At 34.1% G+C, this 15,020-nt stretch overlaps 1 protein-coding gene across 12 annotated transcripts in view; it reads left to right on the forward strand.

Moving 5' to 3' along the window:
* The window catches only part of CNTN5 (contactin 5), a 1,337,937-nt gene that overhangs the window by 1,170,555 nt on the left and 152,362 nt on the right, over nucleotides 1-15,020 (forward strand). For 8 of the 12 annotated variants that reach the window (XM_017017926.2, NM_014361.4, XM_011542871.2 and 5 more), the window contains one exon: nucleotides 1,985-2,160. In XM_017017926.2, coding sequence (XP_016873415.1) covers nucleotides 1,985-2,160 — 176 coding nt within the window. Of the gene's footprint in view, nucleotides 1-1,984; nucleotides 2,161-11,213; nucleotides 11,765-15,020 lie in introns of those variants that run through there. The other 4 variants (XM_017017927.2, XM_011542873.2, XM_017017929.2 and 1 more) reach the window with 1 other exon arrangement.

The raw sequence follows: 15,020 nt of genomic DNA on the forward strand, positions 1-15,020 counted from the left end.
CAAGCTTTCTGAAGTTTTAGTCAGTGTCTCAAAACTTGAAAGTATGCCAACGGTATAAAAATATTTTTCCTCTACCAAGAATAATTTTAGCATCAATCACTAATATTACTCTGTTATCACTTCAACTAGGGATTTGGGGCAGAAAGGAGCAGCAGCAGGAGGATATGATGGAGGGGTGGTATAGGACTTCGCATTAGATAAACTGGCTCCAGAGCTGTTTGTTGATGTCTGTATCAATGAAATTTTTATATGCCTTTATTTTATATAAGCAATATTAATATTACTGCTTATATGTTTCCATTCATTTTATCGTTCTAAAATGAGCTCGATTTCAAGCCTAGAACATTCTGTTGAGGCTCTATGTCATTGTTTAGTGACAGAAAACCTATCTTAGGCAGTCCCTTCAGATGTTTTTCACATTGAGTCTTTAATTGTTTTCACTGTGCATGTATCATATGGCAAACCATACTCCGGCCATAAAAATATAAAAATATTATTTTTTCTGTCTTTAAAATAAAAATGTAATTAATACATTTACATTACTGGTACTAAAATACCAGTACTCTGATATTTTAGAAGAGAGAACATCAAGAAAGAAAAGAACAAAATGTAAAATATACTTTCATTTATATAATGCATTACTGGACTCAAACGCAGCCTTTCAGTTCTTATTCCTTCTGTGTGCTAGTTGTTCCATTTTGTAATAAGGCAATGCTAGATCCAAAGACATTTTTAAAATAACAACAAAAATGTTATTTTCTTAATCATGAGTTTAATTGTTTACTCAGAACACTCCAATCCCCACAAAATTTAAACTACAGTGTACTGCTTTTATCTGTCTTCTCTGATGAGGCCAGAACTTAGAATGCCATATGGAACATTTGACTTCCAGAATGTTAATATTTACAGTGACATTCCTGTCCCAGGATTCCATTTTTTTCTCAGTGACTGCATAGAAGGACATGGAACATTAAAGGATCTGATCAGTGGTTAGGAGTGGTGTTTCATCAGACTGCACTGTCGCAAACAATAGACCTAGAATAGGAAATTTAAGCCAATTGTTAATCACTGTGTTAATTGTCTTGAGGTATCTATGACCAGGAATCTAACTAGGAAAGAAGATAAAACCAAAATCTTCATCACCTCTCTACTATATTTAAAACACATCATCTTGTAATCAGCTAATCACTAACTTAACTCTTAAATGTAAAGCCTGTTTTAGCCTTTATTGGTTCAAAGTTGCTCTAAACCCAGTAAAAAAGTGTGTTTTTAAAATTTAACTGAATCATTAAGGAGTTAAACATAAACATTGTTTTCTAAAAACATTTCCATTCAGTGTTTCTACCTTTCTTTATATATGCCAATTAAGCCATCTACAATACAGCAAAGGTACAAAAACAGGTACGTTCTTCTGATTAAAAAATACTTTTCTACTCCTAAAAGCTTTTTGTCGAGTGTAAAGCAAATACAAGGTAGTGTTGTTGTAGTATTATATTTTTATCTCTGTTAAGATAGTTATTTGGAGGGAGGTGCTTTCTATTGCCCTGTAGCCTCCTCTCATCTTTAAGCAAGTGAACCCTCTCTGAATTCTTCCTGAAACACATAACCTTTTTATTGTAAAAAATCTTTTATTTACTTAATGATCCTTGAAAGTGGTCAGAGAGGCTACAGCCTCTTCTTTTTTTCTAATGTTCCTCCTTCCATAATGTCAAATGCTGCTTCTAATTAGGTAGTCTCTTGTCTTTTTAAAATCCAAGTCACATTCTTAATAGGAACAGAGGCTCTTAAATCATTTCTCCCCTACAAAAACATGGTAATATGCCCTAGCATCCAAAAGCTAATAAAGATGTAAAAAAGCTGGTATATGTATCTGGAGCAACTGTATTGTATAGATTTCTTCTTTTCTCAATTATTTCAAGCAAAATATTATGTATGGTAACACAACAGGTTGATTATCTTAATTAACGTATTTTTATTTCTATAGAACCTACAAGGATAGAACTTACTCCTAAAAGAACAGAATTGACAGTGGGAGAAAGCATTGTCCTTAATTGCAAAGCAATTCACGATGCTAGTTTGGATGTCACTTTCTACTGGACTCTGAAAGGACAGCCTATTGATTTCGAGGAAGAGGGTGGACATTTTGAAAGCATCAGGGCCGTAAGTGAATACACTTTTATTCTTTTAGTAATGATAACTTTAGAAATTTTGAATCAAATGTAAGACCTTGCTTAGCTATGAAGTGCTAAGAAAAAAAAAAACAGAACATCGACTTGATAAAAACAATTACTTTCTGCCATTATTTTATGTTATGTCAAACTGAAAGTAATATGTAATTATTTTAAAACCCCCAGTAAAAAACTGAGAATACCTCATTATTTAAATCTGGTTTCTTTGCCACCTTTGTTTAATATTTACACAATACTTCTCAAAAGTTATGTTGCTACATAAAGTGGCAATTCATTATTTAAAGCATCGTTAACAGTAATTATGATAAAATAAATAAATAAAATGCCTGCCTGTCCTTCTCCTCAAGAACAGTAATTTTTGGAGTTTCTTTAATTTTTTACAAGCTATAGAGCTTAAACATACAACTCGTAGTCATAAATGCACATTAGCCTTAAGTCAGTATTCAAAGATATACTCATTTCTGCCATTTTTTTCTTAATATCTTCTTTTATATTGTGTACCTACATGGCAATCAACCAAATGGAGTGGGAAATCTCTTGAACCAAATCCTACAGAACCATCACAGTGCTTTAACTCTAGAGAAGTGAAAAGAGGCCCCTTCCCCACATGGACTTATTTAAAATGTAATAGAGTAACATAATGAGAGAGGGAGGAGAAAGACAGATGGAACTGGGGTGGCAGAAAAAGAGCGACTTTGGCTGGAATCTTCCTTCTATATTGGCTAAAGAGATGGAGCCAAATACAATTTTTGCCTACAAATTGGATTTAAAATGCTGTTGCATACTTATTAGTATCAGTTGATCCATCCTGAAACACTTTGAGAAGCATTGGAAAACCATAGCTTTAGTGAGCCCAAGTATTTAAACTCAGTGTCAATTGGATTTTATTTTAAAGGTTATGGGATACAAGGAAAAAAAAAAAAAAGCCCTAAATCCAAAGTCAGGAATTCTCTGGATCAAATCCCAGCTTAATCTCTAGTCAGCTGTGTAACATAAAGCCAGTCACATGATTTGCCTGGGCATTAATTTCTGGAGAAATCAAAGTGAAAAAGTTACACCAGATAATTTCTAAGATAGCTTCTCACCTTAGAATTTGGTAAATGTATATTAGTGGAAGAGTAAAGATGAGCTCTCTTTGTTGCATTTTCCAATGTAACAAAAATTAGCCCACTTTCTTCAAAACTATTCCTTTCTTCCTGGTTTACTATCCAATTAATAGGAGAGAGTATATAAATAAGAAACAATTGCCAACTACATTGTTCACCATCTCATTAAATGAGCGAATTTTAACTGTTAATATCCAAGTTATATGTAAAGTATTTAGAGTGTGTTAAATTAAACACATTTTGCTCTGCTTTATGGTTTTCCTTCTTCCTTTACCTTGGGTGATAATTCCTTCCTACAATACTTTTCCTACACATTTTATAACATGGATGTTGTAAAACAGACCAAGAAAATTTAATTTTAAAATATCACATTTTGATTAAAAAATCCCATGAGAAAAATATCTTCTTAGGATTGTCTGCAAACATCCCTTTTGAGTGATCACATATCTAAAGAAAAAATACATCTAAAAATAAATAGCCCCTCTTCTTATAAGTAATCCCTCTCTTTATTTTACAATACCAATATAAAAATGAATGTACCTGGTGAAGTTACATGAATTATTGTTTTTGTCTCTTAGACATAGATATGTTTAGGTTGATGTCATTCATTTGTATCAATAAATACCTTTTTTTCCATGAAGTTGGCAGTTAAGAACATCTGCTGTATTCTTCTTTGCATATATGCTTTCCTTGCCCCAGAGAGTGCCAAATGGACTCCTTATTCCACGCAAACCCATATAATTACAACCCACTTTGAAATTAGGCTCTGGATTAGAGACAGTAACAATAAACTCTGAGATAGAAGAAGAAAGCAAATCATGGTACTGAGAAGGGAGAAAAACATTTAGCTTTAAGGTATAAAGCCAAAATATACTTTTAGTATGCATATGTATTTTAAAACATATGGAAGCTTCAAAACTATGGCATGTATAAGAAATTATCTATCACCTTTCTCTCAGTTACTTCAAACACTGAGTCTTGGTTGGCTTCAAGGACACACACCAGAGAAAATACCATTGTATGACAATAAAAAGGCAAAGAATGGAAAGAACAACATTCTGTTTCCCTTCTGCCCTTCTCATGTAAATTATGTCTGGAAAATAATGCTTTAGGAGAAAACATATAAAAGTGTTATAAAGGCAGATTTGGGAGGCCTTCTGGGCTTGTGGATACCTTCTTTCTGTGAGACCAAGGACAGACTGTGGGAGTCAGAGGGACAGGATGGGGCTGAGAAGAGAGCCAAGTGGGGTGACTCAAGGTCTGCTTTGAGTTTCCAAGAAGAGTCATTAAAGGATCTCCTAAGGTGTCTAACTTATCCCAGCAGAGTAAAAAAATGAAAATGGGATTCCGGGACTTAAGCAGGAATAGAGTGTGCCTATGATTGGAGCACTGTCCAGGCTAACTGTCCTGGGACAGAACCCTGCCAGTGGGTGAGTGAATGAGGGTGAATCAGAAGAAAAACACATTACCACTGCATGAGGTAACTTAAACTAACTAAACCTCTCAGGTGGGAAAAAGAGATAACAATATTTTGTATTATTTTGTAGATGCCAAAATATGACTTAATGATGTTCCCTATTTTTCAACTGTTGTACTGGTATCTTTTATACACAGACATTAGCTTGCATATAAATCTCTAGTCAATTATTTTATGTAGCCTTCATATACAATCTATATACAATGTACATTGTATACATCCACATCTATATACAATGCACATTTTTATGTTTTAAAATAGATGATTGCTTTGAACTCCATTTCAACAGAGTGCATAAACATATGATCACATCAGGCTAAAAAATAATAGTATTGCTTTAAATTAAAAATTAAGTTTAAATTAAAACATTCATAATGAAAATGCTTCTACTATTTATGTTGCCCTCTTAGGCCATGTTTTACAAACTCAGCAATTTGACTAATTTGGAGTGAATCCATTATTGGAAGTCACTGTTGAAAGGGGAGAAGCAATCAGTTAGTACATAAACATTTGATCCAATTCATCCAAATCCTTTTTTTTGGCAAATTTTATGAATAAACTGAATGTGATAAGCTAGTGAGTATATTCTTAAGATTTTAAATCTTTTTAGTTCTACAAGCTAAATGCTGTTGGGGGATGGGGATCCAAAATAAAAGGCATAGCCCTTCACACCTAAGAGAGCACCATTTAAGGGTAGAAATTGCAGTATGGGCTATGATCTGCTATAATAAAGCTACACCAGAGAACTATGTGCATTCAGCTGTTTGTTAGAAGGGGTTGGTATTTGAAATGGACCTGGCCTCAGATCCATTCAAATGGAAGGATTTCAGCAGGTGCATAGGAGAAGCTGCATCTCAGACAGAGCGAGCACGTTGGGCAAACAAAGAAGGGCAGAAGAGCTTAGTGCGTGTTTTGGGAACAGTGAGGAACCAGTGAGGGTGTATAGTAGACAATAAGTCACTGTTTGTTGAATAAGTTTAAAGGAAAGCAGCAGAGGCCTCAAAGGCACTGATTTCGGAGCTATAAAATTTGATTTGTATTTTGAGTACAGCAGGGATTCACATGATTCAGATTTGTTTTTAGGAAGATAATTCTGACAGCTGTGTGGAGCAGGGATTGGCTAGTTTGTGGATTTTACATTCAGTGTAGACCTGTTAAGTAGAGGTTATAATAAGGAGATAATCGTTGTAAGTGTTGACCTTAAATAACCATCCTGTAACCAAATAAAAGCATTTACTATGGTGTCCTGACTTGAGAGTTTATGTTGGTCAGAGGTCTACAAGAACCTCTGATTCCTCTCAGGATATCTGAATAGCATCTGAGCTATTGAGCATTGCCATGTGGCCCCAGAGCCACAGTCTTAATGGAGGACTGTGCTGAGCCACTGTTTTCCAGTGACTTGAAGTCCTCTAATTATTCAAATAGGATATAAGAAAGTTTCTATCCTTATAATGCATAAAGAAGTGTTACACTGAATATCATGGTGGCCTGCAATTTGCTGCTTTTTTAACACAGAAAAATATCTCACGCATTTGTTGTCAGAATGGTCCACTAGAGAAGAATTGCCCTTTCATTGTGAACTTGATAAATTGCAACCAAATAGGCAACTGAGCCAAAGTGCTATATAGCTGTATGGTCCTTCACATTTACCCAATTCTCTGGTTATAGCAATACATGTAGGAAGGCAGAATGGGAATTTTGAGCCCATTTTTTTAATGAGGAAACTGAAGAATAAGACTTTTCCAGGCCACATAAATTGGGGTAATAAGATTCAATATCATGTGATTTTTAAACTACACATTTGTTCACTCTCCTTTATAAACCCTCTCCATATTCACTGACCACTTCTTATGTGTTAAGCCTTTGTCTATAAACTGTGAGAAATAAAAATAAAAGGAAGGTTTGAATCCAGTCTTCAGTAAACATAAAGATAATGCAAGACATTAAGCAATTCAAGAAAAATATGACCATAAAAACAATTACTAACTAACTTTTAAAATCACAGCCAAATTTTGTTGAAGACTAGAAAGAGATTAATGTGATATTTTGTCATTGTGGAGAAAAGCAAAATAAATAATTGAACACCTATGTGCCAAGCACTGAGCTAAGATAGATGGATACTGTATGTATGTCTGTCTAGACACACACACACACACACAATAGCTCACTGATTCCTCTTAACAGCCATATGAAGTAATGTTATTTGGGGAAAACATGCTACCTGACCTAGACCTCAGTGAGTAGCATTAGAATAGTCAAAGAAGAAAAAGGAAGGCAACCTAAGGTGAGAAAAGATATTGTTATCTTAGGGTTGTGCTGGATCTTAGAGATTATTGAGTTTGGCCTAGGCTGGTACCGGAAGTCTCTTTCAGTATCACTAGTGTATGTCCTAACCCTTTAAGTGATGAGGACTCACTCCTCTAAAGTTCGTTTCATTATCAGTCACTTCTGAATGTCAGAAGATTGGAAAGTAGGAGTAATTATGATCACCTGTATGCCAAGCATGAGACTCATAAGGAAACATGCCTGATTCATATGCAGAATTTTTGTGGAATATTAGGTGAATAGAAAGACAGAATATAAACCCCTTAGTGCCTTGAGAATTTTATATTAGCTGGAAAACTCTAGCCTATATTAATTTTCTTATTACAGACACTTCTACTCCTAGTTTATCTTCTTCAGAATTAGCTATTTCCTAAGGAGTAAAAGTCTCTGAATAGAACATAGTAAGTGCTCAATTGGCAACATTCTGTTTCCTGATTGATAAATATTAATTGTGTAAAAATCAATGGAATGCTTGGGTATACTGCCAGTTTACTAAGGCACAAAGCTGTAAGCGTTTCATAAGCAAATGCTTCATCCTCTTCTTCATCAACTTGGCATGCGAAGTCCTGGAGCCATTTCACCACTAAACAGGAAGTGTATCAAAGGGCGGAAGATCTAACAAAGGCTCACAGTCTCTTAGACTCATTATGTTTGCTAGTAGCATTCACACTTTCATGTAAATGGTCCCATGGACTCCGAGCGCTACCCTTTCCCTATCTCACTAAGGGCCTATCCTTTCTCATCAGTTCAGATCCTACCTCTTGGTTCTTTGGCCTGCTCTGAACGCTGGCAACCTAGTAATCCACCCATTTTCTATTCCAACCTCCTGACCGCCACATATTTGCTATATTACTGTTCCCTCCCAATCTTTCACCTAACTTAAAAAATTGTGTAATTTTAATAGGACAGAAACATACAGTAACCATCAACCAAAACTTGGGGACCCTCACGAAGAAAGATTACCTTCAAAGGTTTTAGAATATTCAGACTATCCCAGAAAAGTGCACCATATTCATTCTCCCTGACTTGTATGTGCTAAAAAATGTGTCTCCACTCACTGTCTTCTCAAAGTAGAAATCATTCCGAAAGCAAATAAGAATGTCCATCTTTTTTTTGGTATTATATATGTTTGTTTCATATAGTTTATGAATATGATCAATATATGCCATTTAATTATGTTATTCTATAATATTTCATGTATTGATGATAAACTGCAGGGATCCTAAAAGCAAGGGCTAATAAGTAATTTTATTTTTCATCACTTTGTACTAAGAATGTCCATAAAACAGCCATTCAGCTAGCCAATGCTGTTTCAATAAAAACAAAACCTGATATAAAGCGTTTTCTCTGCTTAGCCAACTGCTACATTATTTCAGAGGTTTTAATATAATTAAATACTGCATAAAATTCTGTTAAAATCTGTTTTCATAACAGAATAGTTTGTTTCCTTGCTTTTTTACTTTTTACACAAAATGGAATATCACGTTAGCACAGTTTGGAATTGAATGAAAGATGACTGCCTTGATGACACCTAAGACAGTCTGTTATTGGGAGACCCTTACTTCCTATGGGTCACAGGGCAGTCAGTACTGGAAAGTAGTGCTGTATTGATTGCCCATCTCCACTTTACTCTAATTAGCAGATTTTTCACACATAGCAAAATGTGAAGTGCGTCTCTTCACTTTCTGTAGATTGTCAAAATTAGTAAAATTAGGTAACGTCTTCAAGTTGTCCCATATAAAAAGACAGGCTTAGCCATCCAATTCATAGGCTGAACTTTGTTCATCTAAATATAATCTACCAAAACAAACTTCCTATATTGTCGTAGGTATACAGAGCATTTTTATTAATTTGGAAGTTCCATTTTTGATAGCTGTTTTATCTTTATGACAGGTCTCATAACATTATGTGTGCTATGAATAGTTACTAGTATCCTTGCAAATTTTTATTTTGGTGTAGAACTGCAGGTCTTTGTTATTATTGTCAGAGAGAGAATATAAAGCTCTCTGATAGAGAAAGGCAATTTTTGTCGGGGGCATGCTTGGAAATATTAGATCAATACCTTGGATTCTGTAATCTCTGAGGGGATAAGAGTACCGTAATTCCCAGAGCCAGCTAGGATATTTTAGGTTATTGGATAGAAAAAAAATTGAAGAATGAGAAATAGAAGACACTCCTTACTCCTTAGAATTTGCTCTCCTAGGTTGTAAATTTCAAAAGTTAAATATGCTTCTAGCTCAGTAACTCCAGAAACTTAAAAAATGCTTACAGGTATCTAGGACTGTATATGTTTTCTCTTTCTGAGGTTTTGTGTTTTTCCAATGTTGTTTTTCCATTTCATACCTATATAAACTCAGACTAGTTTTTAATAATCCTATATTCTCACTGAGTTGATTGTTTTTAATCCAACAAAAACATGAATTTATCTGGAATGAAGTGCCTATTATTGGGAAATGTGATCACTGGTAGGCCACAGTGGGTTGTTGCATTCACTGTTGTTAACTTTGACAGTAAAGTCAATCCGATTTATTTCAGTGATGTTTATTAAACCAAATTCTCACCTAACTCCAAGTTACTTTTGACAATGACTTACTTAGACATAACAGTCTTTCTGATATACATAACAAACTTCTCATGCAAATTTCTATTGATTATCCTGTAATTGTACATTGAAGAGCAATCAATGGCTCCTGGCTTTAAAACCATTTTCCCTTTCCAATCTGACAGAAACTTCAGAAGGCAAAAAAAAAAAGTCTTAATTATATACATGCTATTAAAAGCTTAGAATGAGTGAATAACCAAATAAATGAATATTATCAAAACCATTCTTTATAACATTATCACTTTCCACTTGTATCAAATGTTCAAGTTACTGAAATGAGTACCTAAATTATCTTTGGTGCCTAATAACCATCTTTTCTCAGTATTCAACTTTACACATAATCGGTACTTTCTTTTATTTATATCTTAAGGGACTGCTGTTCACATCTTGATAATTTTTCAATATATCTCTACCTCCCTCCTGTTTTCCTTTACTTGTCTTTCACTATTCATATTACTCGTGAGCCTATTCCAATGAATTGAAATTGGAAGGATAACTAATGTGTCAACTTTAACTGAAGATACCATAAGCCAGTGTAGTAGATACTGTGGTGTGTTGCCCAGGTTCTCCCTTCAAGACTGAACCACTCCTTCCCCAAGCTATGGAGAATATTGGGGGCTGACAGCTCTCAGCAGTGTTCCGCTCTGGGAATTGCCTTCAGTCAAAGAGAGTTATCTGGTTCAAGCTGTGCTCCACCCCAATCTCATGCTCAATGCATAGAGATGATTAGTGTACAGGGGTGATTATAAAGACCAGACCCCTGGCCTCAGCTCCAGAATTACATCTCTCACCTGTTGAATGCCTAATAGATACCTGGCAATATGCTAGACTTTTCAAATATTATTTCATTTACTTCCCTCAAATACGCTATGGTATAGAAATTGTGTTATTGTTGTTGTCATTGTTGTTTGACAAAACAAGAAAAAGAAATTTAGAAAGATAAACAACTTTCCCAAACTTAAACAACTGTTGGATACAAGAGTTATCCAAACTAGGACTGAACTCCAATACATTATCATTTATCAGATCTAGGGCATATCTAGAACTATTTAGCAAGATCACATTTTTAATTTCCTACTTAGTAAACTTAGTAATATCTTGTGAAAAATGTAATTATCCTTCATCCATTTTAGAATTTGTGAGTCAATTATTTCCATTGCCGGTAACATTTTCATGTATTCTTCTAATATTACTCATTCTTATGAAGTTTATATTATGATTATGTGGTTACATTTACACTATATGAGATCCAATTTTCAAGTATTTATACATTTCACTATCATGGGCAATCTCCTGCCCCTTTGCCAGAAAACATATTTCTATTAAATATAGATATATATTTATATTTATATATTTATATTAAAAGCAGCCGTATAAGTCAGATTATTAAAACCTTAATTGTTTGTTTTATAATAAGTTTGAAACAGTTTCATTGTCTGAGTAAGACCTAAGCTAAAACATTTAAATAGAATTTTACATTTTTAACAGCCCTTTTTACCCTTCTTCCCTCATAGGTATTATTTCATTGGATTCCTGTAACTACACTGTTAGTCAGCCAAGTTATATATAAATGAGAACACTGAGCCCCAGGAAGGAAGACAAGTAAAGGTCCTCCCTAATGAAGACCTGAGCAACACAGGCCCATTTACGCAACAGCCCCCATCATCACTTGGGCTTCCTTGAACTTAAAACTTCATTGCCATGAACGATGTTCCAAATCTGATTTGCTGTTGTAAAGCACAGAGAGAACTAAAACTAGCTGTAACTCTTCATTGTGTCTTTTAACACTGAGATGATAAAAAAGATGGTGTTATTCTCTGAAGTCTTACCTCTTTAGCTGGGTAACTACATCTGTTACTACTATACTTACTTGATCACTATTAAAACATTAAAATTAAAATTATGTTCAGTAAGATAAAATCATCAAATTGTTTAAAATTCTCCCATAAAAGTTACTGAGAATTATTTGAAAAACATCTTAAAATATCCTACTACACTTGCCTCTTCAGATGTTCTGTGGGTGTGTTTTCCCATTAATTAAAGCTCATTCTTCTGGCTGCTGCAATTGTTTCATTTTATGGTATGTGAACCCATTTTTATCAACATCCCTTTTTAGGCTTTGAAGCTTCTCTCAAAATGGATATGAGATGCAGTATGTTACATTGCTTTAACAACTGAAGTGGATGCAAAGAATGTAGAGTACAAAGGTCTCAATCATTCTTCTGAAGAAAATAATTGGTATCCACATTTTGGACATTAAAATCATACCTGTTCTTAATAAGTATGCATTTACAGCATTGTTTTATGCAGTTTTGGCCACCAAAATCCAGTTTTCAAGTCAGGTATCTGGCAGTGTCTCAGATTCTTTTCTTTACTCCCATATATCCATCAAATTTTCAAATATTACTAATTCCATTTTGAATCTGTTGATTCCTTTTCTCCATTCCTGGAGTCAAAGTCCTATTCCCAGCACTTATTTCTAGTGCTGTCATCTCACCACCTTTTACACTATAATGACTATCATTACCATGTTTCTAACAAGCCGATTTTATCATACTGCCCCTCCCCATCCCATCCAATTACATAAATGTGCACGTACACACACACACACACACACACACACACACACTGCCCCTATCTTGGATCTAACTCCAGCCTACATATCAAACTTCATCTTCCAACATTTTTCTCTTATTATTTTACAGCAAAGCATAATAATTCTCTGAAAATATCATGTTCTCACATGCTGACCCACTGCCAAGAATACTCTTCCCTGACTTGTAAGCTTTGCAAACTGCAGCATTTGCCTCCAGGCAACTTGAAGTCCTTTCCCAGTGCTTCCATTATACCTTACAGATCCCGCCACCAGGATCTATGCTGCTTTAAACATTTGCTCAGTTTTTTTTCCTCTTCTAGTCTTTATGTTTCTGAAAGTTAGTTAGGAACATACTTATTTGCTGGGCTTAACACAGTACCTGGTGCACAGTAAAGACCAAATAAATATTTGTAGTCATTAAAGGAATCAGTAGACATAGGAGTATATGAACTAAAAACTAGCCATTTAGAGTAGCTCACCAAGAAACAAACATTGACTAATATATATATATATATATATATATATATATATATATATATATATATAATTATAGGCAGACAGATAGATATATCGCTCTCTATATAGATATCTATATATCTCTCATTGATCTATATGGAGAGATGATATATAGATATCTATAGATCTATAGATATAGATCTGTAAATATAGATACACATGAAAAGAAAGAGAGAAGAGAGACAGGCTCTCACTCTGTCGCCTAGGCTAAAGTACAGTAGTACAATCTCAGCTCACTATAGCCCCCACCTCCCAGACTCAAGCCATCCTCCCACCTCAGCCTCCAGTTAAAGAGTTTTAGTTAACAGAGGAAGTTTCTAACTTCTGTTGTAATTATAGAATATTATCAGTGATAAACATGTTTATTCATTTTACTTCACATAAAAATTTAAGTATTTTTAATGTTGTCCTAAAAGTAATTATTTTCTCTGGAGATAATAATCACAGGAGTTGCTCATAAAAGAGAAAAATACAATGGATTCTAGTTTTCATGTTGAAGAAATACTGATATGTTTTATAAGCATTGCATTATTTTAAGGAGAATGCCCTACATATATGTATGTATCTAGGAGATATAATTTAACCTGGAGAATGATGAAATGCGTAATATAATAAGGCCCTGAATACTGGAATTTTTACCTTGTAGGAATAATATATGAAAAAGATTTTTCTTTTTAGTTTTTTGAAAGCCTTCTTAGATAAAAGATTGTTCCTATTATTTAATACCACATAAGGTTTAGGATTTATATAAGCAAACAGTTCAGTTTTACATTTTGAAATACTATTGATATGTAAGTATTGTGTTTTTAGATTGACTCCTATGTTATTTCTCAAAGTGATTTTCAAAGAGTTGGGTTTTTGAGAGGCCATTATTTCTAAGACATCTTTAAAATTCTACCTTCATTTTGCAATTTCTCTTTCGGCATCTGTTTTGTATTAAATTCTAAAGGGTGACTAAGTGTTATGATATATTTAGTTTTCAGCTTTTCAGAATCCTCTAGTTTCTTTCATGGACTATTTTTATCATATTACAGCACAAAAATCAGCTTTAGGAGTCTAGAATTAATAATAGGTAGCATCTCAAATATGTTTTCTCTCTCAGAAAAGGAGGAAGAGGAAATTTTAGAAAAGACTATTGGACTATTATTCACTTCCTTTTTCCATCTGGTATCCATTATATAAGAGACCTGGAAAAGGTCACTTTAAAGAATTTGAGAAGCATGACACCATTTTATTTAATGAATAATTGAAGCCTCTATTGAGCATTTATCAGTGTACAATACAATCAGCCTTCTGTCTCACGGGTTCTGTATCCATGGATTCAACCAATGTGGATAGAAAACACTTTAAAATCAATAAGAGCATACAACAAAAAATACAGTACAGTATAACAACTATTTACCTAGCATTTATATTATATTAGATATTATAACTAATCTAGAGATAATTTAAAGTATACTGTAGAGTATGCATTAGGTTATATGCAAATACTACACTATTTCATATAAGGGACTTGAGCAAGCATGCATTGTGCTATGCTGTCCTGAAACCAGTCTTCCATGGATACAGAAGGCAACTATACATAAGTTCTTATTTTATCTCAGTTCCATGGAAATAAGTGGAGCATTCACACACTAGGCACTATTCAGGAGCTGAGGATTCTGTATTAATCAATAACAAACATTATATGGGAGGTATACGAATACAACTGAAGTAAAGCACTGTCTTTGAGGGTCAGTCTTACAGAGGAACATACATATAGAGATATGGCAATTGTAATGAAGGAAGTATGTTCAGGAAGCTGAGTCAAAGGTACACATCATCCAACCCGTGGAAGCAGGGCAGACTTCCTAAACCAAATGTTACCTGTGCCTACTCTTAAAACAGAGTAAGTTTTGCAGACAAAGCAGAGAGAGGAAGTACAAAAGAAAAAGACTTTACAGGTAGAGGGTGAGCATGATGAAATATGGGAGATACTGAAGTTTTGTCTACTAAATCCCAATAATAAATAATGATCTTATAGTTAAACTTCATTTAATATATTACTATAGTAATTCTGTATTAAAGAGGGCTTCTCAAATTCCCTATGAGAGTTAAGTAAATGACCATGATTATTCTTGGTTTCAATTATAGCAAGGTACATATACATAGCAAAAGTAAAGTTGCCAGATTTTTCCAAATTAAATCCAGGGATAAACTATATCTTGCT

Source organism: Homo sapiens, chromosome 11, assembly GCF_000001405.40.
Source record: "Homo sapiens chromosome 11, GRCh38.p14 Primary Assembly".
Classification (NCBI taxonomy): Eukaryota; Metazoa; Chordata; class Mammalia; order Primates; family Hominidae; genus Homo; species Homo sapiens.